This window comes from Homo sapiens, chromosome 3 (genome assembly GCF_000001405.40).
Source record: "Homo sapiens chromosome 3, GRCh38.p14 Primary Assembly".
Lineage (NCBI taxonomy): Eukaryota > Metazoa > Chordata > Mammalia > Primates > Hominidae > Homo > Homo sapiens.
Genome location: NC_000003.12, coordinates 29,681,263 through 29,698,918, shown reverse-complemented (window position 1 = coordinate 29,698,918; position 17,656 = coordinate 29,681,263). Strand labels below are relative to the sequence as shown.

Genomic DNA, 17,656 nt, shown 5'->3' with positions numbered 1-17,656 from the left:
TGAATAAAAGTGAATAGTATGCTACCATTAGTCTAATAAATGGTGATAAATATTTTATAATAGTCTTTAATATGGTAGTATTAATTATATAAATTTTTCGTACAACAAAAAATGTGTAATTACATCCAATGGGTCAAAACAATAATTAAAAATAAGCTCTATAAATTATGTAAAGTGTCCTCTCCTTAATAAACATTAAGAATAGCATAGTCCACACAGAGTCTTTCCAGAATTTTCAATACTTTAAAAAAAGCAAATGAGAAGACTTGGGAGATGGTAACAATATATGATTGTACTCACTTGTCCTTCGTGTTTTGGTAGACATGCCCAAATTCTCTTCATGCTCATTTTGTTATGAAATACTATTTCATTGAATCCGCCATCTTGACCCACCATCCATAAAAATAGGCACATTTAAATGAATAAACAAAGAGTGCTGAGAAGTCAAGATTCCTCCAAAGACTGTATTTCTCCATTTACCACTTTCATGGCAATGTCTGTGATATCCTGGCTATAGAATTTACATGAAAAAAAAAATCTGGTTTACAGCACATTCAGACACAAACTGCTCCGGTTTTATTATTCCAATAAAAGCAAAGGATTGTTGATTCTCTGTTTGCCTCCCTCACCAGGGACTACATTTTGCCATGGCTGCATTTGCTGTGTATGTAGAATTCTGTGCATTACTCAGAACTTTCTGGACTCTTATAAAATTGAAGTCCTGTGGCTATAAATAGAATAACAGTAGTCTGAAGAAGGAGCATTAATTTCACTGGAATGTAGGCACAGCCACAAGCCTGTCCCTTCAGGGAGCTCACATAAAATGAAGCACCAAGTATGAAGATTTTTGTGTTGCTTTTCCCCCTTAGTTGTTAAGACAGGTGCACGTGGAATATGTCAGAGGAATAATGATTATCAGCAGTATAACAAAAGGACAGAAGTTGGTAGAATCTGCAGATGAATGCACTACTAAGCATATCAGGCAGGAGAGTACTTAAAGTTTTTGTATACAGATTAGGCAACTCTAAATAAAAAATCTGAAATCCACAATGCTCCAAAATCAGAAATTTTTTGAGCGCTAAAATGATGCACAACTGCAAAATTCCACATCTGATCTTATGTGGTGGGTCGCAGAAAAAACAGTCGCAACTTTGTTTCATGCCCAAAATTACTTTCAAATAGTGTATAAAATTACCTTCAGATTATGTATATAAGGTATATATGAAACATAAACAAACTCTGTGTTTAGACATGGGTCCCATACCCAGAATATCTCATTGCATATATGCAAATATTCAAAAATCCAAAGAAATTCAACATCTGAAACACTTCTGGTCCCAGGCATTTTGGACAAGATACATTCAAACTGTAATAAGTTTCTTCCTTTGAAAAGCAGAATATTAGATTAAAATAAACTCCTGTCAGTTCATGGGTAACATTGGTAAACAAGGTAGCTCAGATAGGTGGATTAAACAATGGAAAGAAAAGTAAACCGGGTGAAGTTCTGGTCATGTTCCCCCAACGTTTCAGAGAGATGGACAAGCATGTAAGTAAAATGATAAATAGGATTGTGCAAATGGGCTCATTAAGAAGCAAGTGTGCAAAGATTAATGGTTTGGAGGAAGTTGTCTAAAATTCCATAGGTATATGATAGCTTTTCTTTACCAAAACTACATTTGTTTCAATAGCAAATTTTAATATAAACCAATTGTATCATTAAGAATATATGTTCAGGAAGATTCCATTAAAATTTTCCCAAACTTAGATCCATATTACTGTATAAGAAATAAAAACAAATGCTTTTTGTGCCTGTTTATATTACCTTGTCCTTACCATGCTGAGCACACAGGCCCTGCATTTCTTTATGTAAGAACTTCTCTGGCTGGATAATCTCTGTTGTCCTCCTTTGTAGCAAGTTAGAAGTTTTGGAGAAATCACAACTACTAGGGGTACCTACAAAAATTAAAAATTAAAAAAAACCCAAACGACCAGGGGAGACATTTTACTAGTCAATCAGGGGTTGGTGTATAAATAACCTAGCTCCCTCACCCCTTGTGTATGATGACTCTAAGATGTGTACCCTACACTGGCTCTTGGAGTTGCCCTAGGGTATTGACCTGCAGTCACCCACAGTGGTAGCTGAATTAATAAGGTGCTCTTGTCCCGATCGCCATCTATCAGTGTTGTTTCTTCACGTGCTCCTGAACCTCCCCAGAAGCATCTGCTCCTTGGGGAGCAAGAGCTAAAACAGAAATTATCATCAACTCTCAAATATTATGAATTGAGCAATTTTATAAATATCTAACTTTTCATGTTCTGGCCTTCGTGCAGAAAAGAGGAGCCAGCAGTCATCTATGAGACAGGGTGGCTGATGTAACAAAAGATCTATCCTTTCCAGTTCTCATACAGTGTGTGACATTGCTACTCAAGGGCCTTTCATCAACAAATGATTAATTGGTGAGGAATGACATTACCTTCCTTGAATAAAACATAATTTAGTACAAATGATCGTTTTTAATTAGCTTGCAATAATAATGGCAGGTACCATTTATTCAGCACTTACTGTGTTCTATGTTGTATGCTAAGTGCATTTATCTTACCTCTGAGATTGGCACCATAATCTGTATTATAATCAGCTACTATAATCAGGAAATATAATCCCCATTTTAAAGATGAAAAAAACTGAGAGCCTAACTCACGTGAAGTCACACTGCTAGTAAGGGGCAGATCTGGGCTTGGAAGCCAGGATTGCTTGAATTGGATGCCTGTGAGTGTCCATAATTAAGTGTCACCATCCATCTTTGTTACAGAGATCAGGATCCTAAGGGAGTTAACAGAAGACATGGAGAGTTTTTAAAATGTCAATGCCTAGGGGATCTTTACTGACGGCAAGAAAGAAGAAAGAAACATTGAAATCCTAGAGCCTGGTCTTGGTTTAGTGACCCCCCTGGCCTTACCCTTTGTCCCTTGGCCATCTCACTGCTCAATTTGACCAGTTCAAACAACAGAGGAATGAAAAAGAAATAAAAATCAACTTGGAAATTAGCACAACTTTTACTGTGGGAACTGGTTTACATTTTTGGCTAAAATTAAGCTTGGGATTGTTTGTGAAACTCAATGAAGCAAGAGTTGGCAATGTGTACAGGCAGAGTGTGTTCTCCCGTGCTGTCCACACACGATTTCCTAACAATCAAAAGAAAATGCTTTATCTGTTAGTAAAAGTTAGCAAAGTTTCATAACTTCCTGTAATTACTACTCTGAGAGTTCACAATGGTTATTTTTTCACATGAAATTGTTAAATGAGGGCTGCCTGAGATTTCACTTAAAATTTTGCACTTGGAAGAAAAAAAGGGGAAAAAATGAGAAGCCAACAGAATAACAACTCTAGAAGTGAAGAACTAACATTTAAAGAGTGAAAATAATAATTAAAAGTAGGATCTATATATTAACTAAAATGCCCCTCCTCAACAAACATAGGAATACATACTCTACACAGAGTTCTAAGAAGTTCGCAGTGAGCTTACATTTGTGGAATGCCTACCATGTCTCCAACCAATTGTCCATATTCTTACATTTAACCTTTCTACAAATCCAGTAGCATTAGTATCACTAATCCTTTTTTATTAATAAGGAAAAAGTCACAAAACCTGAATTCATACCATTTTAAAATTTGTTAGTTTTATTTATCCTTTCTTATACTAGATCTTTGCAAGACTAGATAATAATTCATTGCTTCTAGATAGTCTGCGAGATCCTAATATGAACAAACTGCTACAGTAGTAGTAAGAGTAAAACTCCAAAGGGACTTGGAATTTTTCATGTTATTTGAGCAAAAGTGTTGTTTAAAAAAAATGGCCAAACTTGCTTTCAAAATGAAAAGGTGAGTGACTCAGCAGTGGGCAATGAGAGACTCTCACCAGCCTATAAGTGCAGTGATAAATAGCAGACATTGCTTAGCTAAGTTATGAATAACCACACCAGGAATGTGTCTGCTTAGGCTCCTGTGCCTGACAATTGTTACATGAATATAAAACAATCTGCCTTGTATTTTTTTTTTAAAAAAAAATTTGCATGCAGCTTTTTACTTTGCTAGATTTTAAAATTTGGGGCTGGGGTGGGAGATGGGTAAGAACAGTTTTTAATTTTTTTTATTTTTTTATGCTTCCTCCTCTTTAGCCACAACATTTAGGACAGTCACTTGCACAGATAATGTGTTTAAAACATAATTGAACTCTAAGTATATGCAAATCCTGAAATACCTAGAAATTCAGAAACTTCCTATATTAATTGGAATTCAAAAAAAATCAAGCAGGAAATTACTGTGACCACCTACATCCATATACGGATATACAAACTAATTGTTAGTCTTTGCTAACAGTGAATCCCAAGTAACCCAGAACAGAGTAACTCTTGCTAACTAGTTCTACAGTAATAACTTTTTTTAGGAATAAGAGTAAGACAGCCCTATGAAATATTTTTAAAGCAGATTTCCTCTTATGACGAACAATTGTAAAAGGTTTATCTTTCTACAATAGGACATGTTCCCTCAAAATAGTAGAGAAATTTGTTATATAGACAAAGGCTTCCATGAATGATTTTGAGGATGTAAGTTGGAAATGAAAGAGAAATATAGTTCCAGACTTGGGTGAAAATGTATGTGACAAAAAGATGACATAATCTATCAAAATGTAATGAAAAACAGATATCAGAAGCAGAGGCAACTAATGTAGCCATGGCCACCCCCTTGCACACCCCCTTCCCTCAACACACAAACCTGCCTCACTCTCCAGAGGCTGTCTTGGCTGACACAGAGGATGCATTCCATACATGTTTCAAATACCAAGGATCAAGAAGCAAATCCAAGTGTTCACTGCGTAAGTGTTCCTGTCATTTTGTGGTATTTTGAAGAAACCACTGTGAAGCAACTTGATTCAACTATTGCTTTAAAACTCAAACACTGATCATGTTGACACTGTCTACAGTAATCAGTGTTTGAAAAATAATGGATAAACATTTTACTATTTGCCTTTAAAGAACAAAACAAGAGTAGTATTTCCAACCTAGCTAAGAGGGGACAAACAGAAAAGATAGAGAATTCAAAGTTTTGTCTTAGGATGAACAAAAATCAATCTGAAATTATTGATCAAATCATTGAAATTATCATTATGTACAGCTTCGGTCTCAACCTAGTTCACTGATGTTACCCATTTCTCTACCGAGAAGGGCACATTTATGAAACTGAAGAATGACTGTATGAATAAAGTATGTTAAGCTTTCTTATATGCTAATAGTAGTTAATCTTTGCAATAATCTTTTGAAGTAACATGATTTATTTTACAAATAAGTAAACTGAGACACAAGAAAACTCAGTCATTTACCCAAGATCATAGTCAATAAATAAATGTGGACCCTAAATTTTAGCTCAATAGAAATAAATTGGCATGCTTTTCCCATCCCCCTGTTTATAAGATATATATTTGCCCATGACTTGGGCTGTTTATTAGATATAGGACATCCTCAGAGGCATCCATGTATGTATATGCATTCAATAATGACATTATTCCTCAGGCATGAAACACCTTAAAATATCTTTCTAACTATCCAGAGAAAATTATAGTCATGAATTTGAGGTCTATGTATTAGTCTGAATTTGCTCTGTACAGCATCACACATCACAATTATGCATTTTCAAGGAATGTTTTCTGATGGGTATTTGTCTTTAATTCATTCTAAAATTTGGGGAAAAAATGTAAAGAAGAGTGTTGTATTTCTATCAGATATCATAATGTTGGTTTGTCATAGAGAAAAGTATCTCAGTAAAAAACCACTTTAGTCTCAATGTAAATTATGCAGAAGTGTCTTAGCCATTAAACAGAATAAGTTACAGTGTATGTTTCTGGAAATATAAATCTAGACACATAAATCAGGATGTCTAGTCAGTGATTTAAAAAAATATTTAGCACAGTGGTCATATAAAGGATCTGTCCGTACCAAAACATAAATGAGCACAATGTACATTTTTAAAGCAAATATAAGCACTAAACTTGAACACTAATCACTTATCCTAAAGAAAAGAGAGCATGATTATATATATAATTTATAATTATGCTTAAGGTTATGTTTCCTGCTTTGTAAAAGACCTATCTTAACTTTCAGCCCCTTTGGAGGTAGCAGTATACTCATTACTATCATGCAGGAACAATATAGCTATTCACATTTGCGATGTGCTTTGCAATCGCTATGGATCATGAGGATAAATGATGGGAGAGAAAATGATAGAAAGGGAATCTGAGAAAATGATGGGAAGAGGAAAACACATGGTCAGTTTTTTGATTAGGTTGTCAAATAAAGTCTCTTAATGTAACGTTTACAAGAAAATCTTGAGATTACTCCACTTTTTCTACGGTTCTGTTGTTCCGTTTTTAATGTGAGCAAGTCAGGTCACTCAAGCATATTCAAGTTCAACTCACTAAAGCATAATAATGCTTATTGTTATACTTCATTATAAACAGGGCTCAAAACAATGAATATTGACAAGCTAAAATTATACCTCTTTAAGTCTTAGCAAGCTTGGTTAAATGGTTATATATGCAAGATCAAGTTAAAATGGAAACATGAGGCATTTAAAAAATATAGAGGTCGGGCGCGGTGGCTCACACCTGTAATCCTAGCACTTTGGGAGGCCAAGGCAGGTGGATCACCTGAGGTTAGGAGTTTGAGACCACACTGACCAACATGGTGAAACCCCATCTCTACTAAAAATACAAAAGTTAGCTTGGCATAGTGGCAGGCATCTGTAATCCCAGCTACTTGGGAGGCTGAGGCAGGAGAATTGCTTGAATCCAGGAGGCAAAGGTTGCAGTGAGCCGAGATCCCAGGAGGCAGAGGTTGCAGTGAGCTGAGATTGTGCCATTGCACTCCAGCCTGGGCGACAGAGGGATACTCCATCTCAAAAAAAAAAAAAAAAAATAGAGAGAGAGAGAGAGAAGGGTCACACATAAATAAGATTTATACTTAACTTGTTTGATTGCTACCAGTGTTAGATTTGAAAGCTATGCACATAAACTATTGGGAGCAAATCCGCATTGTTATGTGACAGAGAAAAGATGGCATCTAGAGGAAGAAACGTGCTATTTATTTTCAGTGTTTTTTTCCATAAGATTTAACTCTAGGGCAGAATTATGAGTCTCTGTCAGAGAAACCAACCAAAAATAAAAATTGAACCTGGTGCTTGTACATCTTACATGACAGATGAAAGAAGACTCAATAAATCACAAGTGTCATGAATTAAGCCATTTTGTTTTATTTTATTTTTTCCTTTGGGGCATTTCTGTGGGACTTCTTGACTTTTCTTTCTAAGATGAGTAGAAATGAGGCATGCATTAAACAAATGATTGGCTATTACAAAGAACCACTTTATTGATGTTGACAGAAACCCACGAACAAGTCATGAAAAGAGAAGTACCAAGAGTGTGTGCTATTATTTCTTAATACTAGAGCAGAGAAAGTTCATTTCAAGCCATATTTTGGGTCAATCTTACCATGAAGGAAAGTTATTCCTCAGGTCAAGGGTAAGTATTCTGGGAGAAGGTACAGAACCCATAATTATTTAGTCAATTTTCTTCTTGACGCTTTGTGGCCTAGAAGATTTAGTACAAATAGAAGAGAAAACTTTTGTTCTGCAAAATACTTACAAGAACTTATACCTCAAGAAATGCTCTGTTCTCCCACAGTTTGATGAAAGTGTCAATACAAGACTGCGATGTCAAAATATGACTGGCATATTTATACAATATCTCTTTCTGTCTGCAATTCCATGGAGTTAAACTTGCTGAAAACCATAAGATAATAGAACTCCCTCTGGTAGATTATATTTTCTAGGTGTACCTAATCCTCCAAACATGTATAAACCTTGCTAAGCATTGCACACAAAGAATATAAAAACCCTCTTAAGCACATGCTAATTATGAAATCTAAAATATATTCCCATTCTTTTGCACTGAGACATGAGACAGATTTTCAGTTCCATGAGTTAAACTGATACAAAAATTCCTAAAATAACATTCTTTTCTAGGTGATAAATTAACACTAGTCCAAATAAACAAATTGTAGCAAAAAGCAGAAAAGTAAAAGTAGGAGTTTATGACAGAGCACAAAGTTCAAACTGTTTAGGCAAAACAAAAATGCAAAACTAAAATACTGGTATGGAAAGCACAGAACTTGAAAGAGAATTCTGGGCCTCTAAAATTTCTGATAAGTATACTAACTAACAACAATTACTTTCAAAACTCTTGGCAACATGAATGTAGAGATTCAATTTAGCACTTGAATACTGTCAAAACTGAGTCATGAAAATATATAACCCATTTCAAAGTTATCACAAAGAAACATAATTGATTAGAGATAATTGATTAGAGGTGAAGAACAATTTGAATCAGTTATAACAGAAAAATTTAAAAATATACATATATCATTTGTTTTTCATTTTTTTGAGACAGGGTCTCATTCTGTCAAGAACACAGCTCACTGAAGCCTCAAACTCCTGGGCTCAAGCAATCCTCCTTCTTCAACTTCCCAAGTACCTGGGACCACAGGCACATGCCACCACGTCCAGCTAATTTTTGAATTTTTTGTAGACACAAGATCTCACCATGTTGCCCAGGCTGGTCTTAAACTCCTGGGCTCAAGCAATCCTCCCACTTCGGGCTTCCAAAGTGCTGTGATTATAGGCATGAGCCACCACGCCTGGCCAGATATGTCATTTTACTTTCTCTCAAAAATCTCTATTGATCTCTTATAAATATAATTTATATTATTCTATATATTGTGAGATATGTGATTAATAAAATGTATACTTTCCACATATACCAGAAAATCAATACCTTCAGCAATGTTTCATTTCTTTTGGTTAGCCAGTAGCTAGATTATGAAAGAAACAGTAATAGCATCTCCCTTTCTTTCACTTTTTTTTTTTTTTTTTTTTTTTTTTTTTTTTTTTTTTGGTAGAGATAGGATCTTGCTATGTTGCTGAATCTGGTCTCAAACTCCTGGCCTTAAGTGAACCTTATGCCTCAGCCTCCCAAAGTGTTGGGATTACATGCATGAGCCACTGCTCCTGGCCATACCTCTCTTTTAAAACATTTTTATAAAGATGTAAAATATGGATGCAAGCAGAGATTTCTTTGTAATAAAAGTTATTTTTGTCTCTTTCTTAGACTAATAACTGAGAAAAAATAATTTGCATAGTGCTTCCTTACAAAGCAAGCCTTCTAATTAATCAGTACATGTAAACAAATTCTATCTAGGGCTTTATTTTGCAGGTTTAGAATACATTTTTATATATTTTCCACTCTGCTTCCCTGGTAAACTTTCTCTAATAAAATACTGTAAAACTCACAAATTATCAACTCTTGCCATACAAGTAAAATTAAACTCCTGAGAATATCTACTGCTTTGTCAGCCCAATTTTAAATATTCAAAATGTATGTCACAAAATTAAGCTTAAAACCACATATTTTCATAAGTACATTTATGTACTTTAAAAAATGAATAAAGAAAAAGAGTCAAATAATTTTTATTTAATTCTTTATGGGTATGGGGAGCACATAATTAATGACAGAAAAAAGATGTAGATCTTTTTATGAAATTATGAATTTTGCTTAATTTAAGGCAAGGATAATATCCAAGAAGCATTATAATAAATAAGTTTAAATTTCTAAAGCAGTTTATCTTTAAAAAAATTACTTTGATGAAATATACAAGCTCTAAAGGAAGCAAGAAGCCAATATATCTATATCTATATCTATATCTATATCTATTTCTATATAGGTATATAGAAATAGGTACATAGAAATAGATATAGATGTGTATTTTTTTAAATGATTAGCCCTAGGAATTTTGGTACAGGTTTAGTAGATAACAGCATCGTGAAGTTGTCCTATGCAAAGGCCAAATCATAATCTCTTCACAAATTCCCACCTCTCTGATTTCCTTTTTAAGAAAAAATCTCTCCATCAGTCTTTAGCAAGAAATATCCTAGGCCAGGCACAGTGGTTCACACCTGTAATCCCAGCACTTTGGGAGGCTGAGGTGAGTGGATCACGAGGTCAGGAGTTCGAGACCAGCCTGGCCAACAGAGTGAAACCCTGTCTATACTAAAAATACAAAAATCAGCTTGGTGTGATGGCATCCGCTTGTAGTCCCAGTTACTTAGGAGGCTGATGTGAGAGAATTGCTTGAACCTGGGAGGCGGAGGTTGCAGTGAGCTGAGACCACACCATTGCACTCCAGCCTGGTGACAGAGCAAGACTCCATCTCAAAAAAAAAAAAAAAAAAAAAAAAAAAAAAAAAAAAATCCTGTAACTTTTGTGCCTGATGTGACTATTTACATTAATCAAAACGAAAAACAAATTTATATACTAAACCAGAGGTTAAATTCACAATGTGGGATCTACCCTCTTCCAGAAAGATGTGGATGATGAGAGTGTATGAAGTCTTTAGAAGGATTATAGTTTGTGGATAGAAACTGTCCCCTGTCTTTGCCCTCTTCTAAACTGACAAAATAACTATTAACAAGAGTGCATTAAGCTCTTCAACTTGCGATAAGTATTTTTTGGATCACTGCAAAGGCAAATAATCTCTCTACCCTCAAGAAAATGGGGATAGGAAATCAATGCACATAAAAGCATTGGAAGATTGGTCATTGTTTCAGGATGTGGTACTGGCTAAGAATAACAGGAGGTAAGAGAAGAGAAGAAAAGGCAAATCAGGGCTGAATAACTTACCTTCATCAAGCAGAAAGATGAGAAAGCTAGCTCTTGCTTTGGGAAAAGCAATTTGCAATTGGAGTAGAGCTGGGTGAAAATAATATCAGTTTAGATGTTCCATGAAACTAACGGTAATTATTCGTGCAGCTTCCTCTAGTACCACTGAAACATAATATGACTCTGGTGTCCTTTGTGGCAAGACATATCAAAATATCTATAATCTGGGCATACTGTAATAAATGTAATTATCATTCTATACTACTTGACTTCAGTTCATGGGTCTAATAATCCCCTTGAAGCTAGTTGCTACAACTAATAGGTAGGATATTATTTTATTATCCCTCGTAACTTATGTCTAGCAAGTCACAATTGTGAAAATATTGGTATCTTCTCAGCATATGGAAATGGGAAAACAGGAAAGCAAAATTTGAAGGGTCCAAATTTTTTCTTCAAATTAATGTTTTTGCTGTTATAATGTTTTATGAACATTCCCTATATGAACCAACACAGCATACCCCGAAAACCTTTGTGTCTAATTATCAGTAGTTATTTATCATTCATTTCTCAAAATAATTAGCTTCGCTTGTCTAATGAAGGAAAATGGGGATTAAATTGAGATAGCTTGTGTCAAATATGAAACAGATATTCTCTGCTCTACAAATCTGAACTTAATGTCTTCATGTTGAAGGAAAAAGAAATCCTGTAGATAATAATGTTTAACTGCCTAGATAACCTTGTCAAAACTAACTAAATAACATAATACATGTTGCCTATGCACTGGATTCTTTGAGGATTCTATTGTTTTGATTATTTCAAGACGAACACATGGCTTTGAACATCAGAGATATAAGCTATATTCTAAAGGGGTTGGATTAAACAGAAACCTGGCTGTTCTGGGAAATTGGAACAATCCTTTTATGTTAAGTGGCTTTTAAAATCACTTCTATTATCTGTAGCCATGTCCTCAGTTGACACAACTTAGAATATTTTGCATAAAAGTATAAGTGTGACCTGAAAAGGAAGGAAAAAAACTTATCTGACTCAAAAAGAAACCACACATAAAGAAAACCCACAAAAACCCACTTTCAAAATGCATGACCTCATTCTTTCCTAGTACTAGTCTGAAAGCAAAACAAAACTGATGATATACTTGTAGAGTGCAGCATCTAGCCAGTACCTGCCATTTTATCTTAGAGAAGAAAGATAAGGGCTATGTTTACTAAGGCTAGCAGGACCCTCCTCCTTAAACAAAATAATGACTTTATTTCTGACAATCCTAAGGTTTTGTTACACATAGAAATTGAAGAAAAAAATAAACAATAAACATTTGTTAAGTTATATCCTATTATTTTAGAGTTTATATGTACCAAGATAAAGGAAAATAAGGAAAGACGTATGAAAATGTAAGCAATCATTGGTTCTTATATTTAATTAATTTCCTATTCTTTGTAATTATTTGTTTTTGAATTTTTTTTACAGACAGGGTTTTTCTGTGTGGTCCAGGATAGAGTGTGATCACAGCCCACTGTAATTTAGAACTCCTGCACTCAAGCAACCCTCTGGCTTCAGCGTCTCTAGTAGCTGGGACTAGTGGGGCATGCAATCACATCTGGCTTTTTAATTTTATTTTTTACAGAGATGGGGTCTCTTATGATACCCAGGCTGGTCTTAAACTCCTGGCCTCAAGCAATTCTCCTATTTCATCTTCCCCAAAATGTTGGAATTACAGGCATGAGCCACCATGCCCGGCCTATTTTTTGTTTAAAATATCAGAACTGTCCATGATATGCTATCAAACAATGAATATACACCAAGCCCTTCAGAGACACAGTAAGCCTAAAAAGATCTAATAAAATAATTTTGAAATGGGGGGACTCAAGAAGACCATATTTTTACTGAGAGACATACAAGTAATTTTATTAGAATGTACTGATTAGAGTAATAGAGATATGGTTAAGATGAAGCAAATGAAAACTCAAGGGAAAAGAACTGTTAGCCTACGTTGGCCAGAGAGTCTTGGTATAGAAGCCCTCCTGAATATGTCCTAAAGGCTAGTTGGTACCCACCTTTTAGGCCACCTGTCTAAGGTCAAAAGTGCTTACCATAGTAAAGTGCTTGCCTCCATCTCCAGTAATGAAGATCCAGAGAGGGAAAGCGATGTTGTTACACAACTTTAATTTGGGCCCACTTTGGAAGACTTGTTGGTAAATATGGGAAAACTAACGTTAGAAGTCTTCCTGATTCACCCAGCTGCCAGGCACAGTGATGGTGGTGGCAGCAGTGGTGCAGAAGGTGTGGGGAGAGGTGGGACTAACTGTGACGGAACGTGCATATAAATGACTGGCAGGCAAGGTACTGAAGTTCTTACCAAAGTGATGATGCAGGGATGTCCTAGATATGTCCTAAAAGACTGCATTTCAAGCTCTCAAACAAATATTACATTTTCCTGCTTATTTATGCCTATTTGTTCCAGGTCGAGTCGCACAGTTCCTGCCTATTGTTTAAGCAAGTGATTTCTTTCTAATAAGTATATACCTCTTTGTGTATCTACTTTTCTGCTCTTATCCACACCTGAGGGAAGGAGGAAACCGGAACTTGTTTTGCACCAAGTAATGGCTAAAGAACTGATGTTCTTCCCTTTTTTAGAGGATGGAATGGACTCCCATGGGACAAAAAAAGGTAGAATAGAGCTTAAATAGCAACTTGAGTATCACATCAAATATACAAATGAAAAAACAGAGAAACTAATACAGAACGTATTAAAACTCCCTCTATAAAAAAAATGTTTACCGGGCTGGGCGCTGCAGCTCGCGCCTGTAATGCCAGCACTTTGGGAGGTCGAGGCGGGCGGATCACGAGGTCAGGAGATGGAGACCATCCTGGCTAACATGGTGAAACCCCATCTCTACTAAAAATACAAAAAAAAATTAGCTGGGCGTGGTGGCGGGCGCCTGTAGTCCCAGCTACTCGGGAGGCTGAGGCAGGAGAATGGTGTGAACCCGGGAGGCGGAGCTTGCAGTGAGCCGAGATCGCGCCACTGCACTCCCGCCTGGGTGACAGAGCAAGACTCCGTCTCAAAACAAAACAAAACAAAACAAAGCAAAACAAAAAAATTGTTTACCGGAAACTGTTTTACCCCTGAAAAATATAAAACTTATACTTACACACATACACACATAGTAACAGGAAAATTAAAATCTAAAAAAAGAAACAATAAAACATGCAACATAAACCAAACAGAATTCTGTTTGTGTTCATCAATAAACATACTAAAGGGAAAAAATGTTATCCTTTTCTGTACACAAAGACCATCCTCTTTAGCTCAGTGTATGTGTCTGTGTGTGTGTGTGTGTGTGTGTGTGTGTGTGTGTGTACATAACAAACCTTACATTTTACCTGTTTGAATTTTGTGACATTCAAATTCTGGATAATATGCAATGTTAAAAAATTGGTTTCTGATGGCAAAATAAATAGAAGGGATCAATCATATGTGAAAAGTAAAATTATATCCAAGGACTTATAAGGAAAATTTTTATGTCTATCTATCAAACAATCAGAAAACTAACAAAACAATGCTTTCAGGGAAAAAAACTATTCATTCCATAACTCCCTAAATAAAATTCCATATACAGTTGAATAAGTCCACTAGAGGTTATTTTTTTACCACCACAGTTGGTTTTAATTGATTCCATAAATGATACAGCCATGTGGTAAAACTTCTTATCATATAGATAGGTACATAAAGAAATACACCTTTCCAGAACTGTGTGTTTTTGAAAATCCCACTTATTTTAAAACATTAAAGTCTGTTATAATATGACATTTTATGTTTTTCAGAGTGTCCACAAATAATAAAGACATCAAAAGTAAAAATTTAAATACAGTGACTCTTGTCTTCCTAAAAGTAGGGACTGTGTTTATTTTATTTTTGAATTTTAGTTGATAGGCCTCCCAGTACAACACCATAACTATTAAAATTACTGTTTAGGGTATTATTAATTATATCTCCTGAATGCATTGAGAAAATTCTTTGTAATGCAATAGTCAAAAGAGAAAATGAACTGTACTTATAACATATTGGTGTGAATAATTAATTGGTTTCTCACAAGAATATCCTCTGTGGCTTCTTTTGTTTATTATACTAGTCACACCTTTCCTGGACCAAGCAATTCTATTCTTAAAGAGCTACATAAATCTAGACAGGAAAAAAGATCCTAAATATATGATTGACACCAAAACCAGCAAGCCAGCAGCTCTGGGGATAGTCATTTTACAAAACTGCTTAGTCATTCCTGTCCAGCCCTGTAATGCCCAAGTGTCAGCTGCTGAGAAACCATATCATGAAAAGTTAATTTGGCTCTTAAAGATAACATGCTTTTAAAAAGTGATAAGAAAGAAAAGTTGAGCTGGGTTCAGACAGACTGTCTCTGTTCCCAAGTTCCGAAAATGCACTCCCAGAAATATTTTCTGTCGCCTTATCAGCAGCAACATTCCTTAGCAATCCTGATTAAATAAAATGTTTCTTCCTTCAAGGAGGTGGTGTGTTTGTGTGTGTGTGTGTCTGTGTCCCTATATATTTCTAGCCAGGAGTTAGCATGAGACTGGGTAGAAAGCCAGTGTTATAGGCATGTCTCCTTAAACTTCACACTTTCCTAAAGTTGTTTTTTCTCTTTGCCTTCATCTGAGTCCTCTCTTCCCTCCTCCCCTTTATTCCCCACTGCTATTGTTCAATTTGGCAGCACATTTATGGATGCAATCTTTATGAGACCTGCTATGTGAAATAAACTCACACTCTATTCTCGGCATCCTCCCTTCTCTTGTCTATCCCCCTTGGAAAATGTGATAACCTGTGTTTTTGAAAATACTACTGTCTTGTGTGTACATTTGCTTTGAAAATTGAGTCATTGAAAATGATCTTGAGCAAAGCAACTCACACCTGGGGAACACTGCAGTGAAGAGAAAGATCACATGGAGGCTATGAGGAACCAAACAAATGGTCTTGACATCTGCTGAAGTGTTATGTAGGAAGCCGGGTAGTAAAAAATGAAAGCAAAGCTTGATTTTTCACCCCACCATTCTGCCCCCGACACACTAAGAATAATCTTGACTGACCCAGTATCTATTTGCCTCTCTGAGAAAAGCAGTGAAGTTGAACTGGACATTATTATCCCACAGTAACAGTGATCCAAATACTTAAACACTTAGAATTGTACACTTTGCATAGGAAGAGTAATTCCTAGAGTATATCAGCTTTAAGGCAAATGGTGACACGTTTGCATTCTTAGAATGATAGAATATGCTAGTTTCTGCCAATCTATCTCCTTCTCTCTCTCTCTTTCCTACTTTGTGTATCCAAACCCTACTTGGACAGCCTTTTTGTGAATAGCACTGTTGCAGAGAAACATTAGCTGTTTTAATAGGACACAAAAATGAACCAGAATAGAAATGTTATAGAGTGGTACTCTGTGCCCTTCTGGCCCTTTCAGTTGCCAGGTGCAGCAGTTCGCTCCCCAAACCTACAATGGGAAAGGAATGCCACCCACTCCCTTGCTTTCCAGTTTCAACTCCTGCCTGTGGCAAAAACTGTAAGAAATCTTGGTACTCTTCCACTAAGTATAGACAGGATCCTTCCTAACACAGCACCCCAAGCAGCCAAAAATCATTATCAATGAATCAGAGCTTGTTTAAAAACTAGCATCTAGCCGGGCATGGTGGTTCATGCCTGTCATCCCCGCACTTTGGGAGGCCAAGGCCGGCGGATCATGAGGTCAGGAGACGGAGACCATCCTGGCCAACATGGTGAAACCCGTCTCTACTAAAACAAACAAACAAACAAAAAATTACCTGGACATGGTGGCGTGTGCCTGTAATCCCAGCTACTCAGGAGGCTGAGGCAAGAGAACCACTTGAACCAGGGAGTAGGAGGTTACAGTGAGCCAAGATGGCACCATTGCGCTCCAGCCTGGCATCAGAGCGAGACTCCGACTCAAAACAAACAAACAAACAAACATCTAATTGCCTTCCTGCATCAAGCCATCCTTTCGTAAGATTGGTGAGCACAAAGAAAGTTGTGGATCCATTGAGATGCTATCTCACACCAGTCAGAATGGCTGTTATTAACAAGTCAAAAAATGACAGATGCTGGTGAGGTTGTAGATAAAAAGGAATGCTTTTAAATTGTTGGTGGAAGTGCAAATTTTAGTTCAACCATTGTGGAAGACAGTATGGTGGTTCCTCAAAGACCTAGAGGCAGAAGTACCATTTGCCCAGCAATTTCATTACTGGGTATATACCCAAAGAAATATAAATCATTTTATTATAAAGATACATGCATGCATGTGTTCATTGCAGCACTATTCTCAACAGCAAAGACATGGAATCAACCCAAATGCCCATCAATGATAGACTGGATAAAGAAAATGTGGTACATATACACCATGGAATACTATGCAACCATAAAAAGGAAGAAGATCATGTCCTTTGCAGGGACATGGATGGGGTTGAAAGCCATTATCCTCAGCAAACTAACGCGGGAACAGAAAACCAAACACTGTGTGTTCTCACTTACAAGTGGGAGCTGAATGATTGAACACATGGACACATGGAAGGGGGAACAATACACACTGGGGCCTGTCTGGGGGGATTGTGTGGGGGATGGAGAGCATAAGGAAGACTAGCTAATGGATGCTGGGCTTAATACTTGGGTGATGGGATAATATGTGATCCAAACCACCAGAGCACACATTTACCTACGTAACAAACCTGCACATGCTGCACATGTACCCATTAACTTAAAATAAAAGCTGAAGAAAAAAAAATAAAGTTATAGATCAGTCAGCATGAGGCTATTTACTTATGTTGGAGGTGTTGGTAGGAGAAGAAGCTGATTA

At 36.2% G+C, this 17,656-nt stretch overlaps 1 protein-coding gene across 14 annotated transcripts in view; it reads right to left on the bottom strand.

Annotated features, from left to right (window-relative positions):
- Positions 1–17,656, bottom strand: part of RBMS3 (RNA binding motif single stranded interacting protein 3) — a 729,325-nt gene that overhangs the window by 311,477 nt on the left and 400,192 nt on the right. The window contains exons 1-2 of one of the 14 annotated variants that reach the window (XM_047447976.1): positions 1,823–2,692; positions 301–511 (exon numbers count right to left, since the gene is read on the bottom strand). The exons of 12 other annotated variants lie outside the window; for them this stretch is intronic. In XM_047447976.1, the coding sequence (XP_047303932.1) occupies positions 301–414 (114 nt within the window). In that variant the 5' untranslated portion in view covers positions 415–511; positions 1,823–2,692. Of the gene's footprint in view, positions 1–300; positions 683–1,822; positions 2,693–17,656 lie in introns of those variants that run through there. One more of the 14 variants, XM_005265063.3, reaches the window with a different exon arrangement.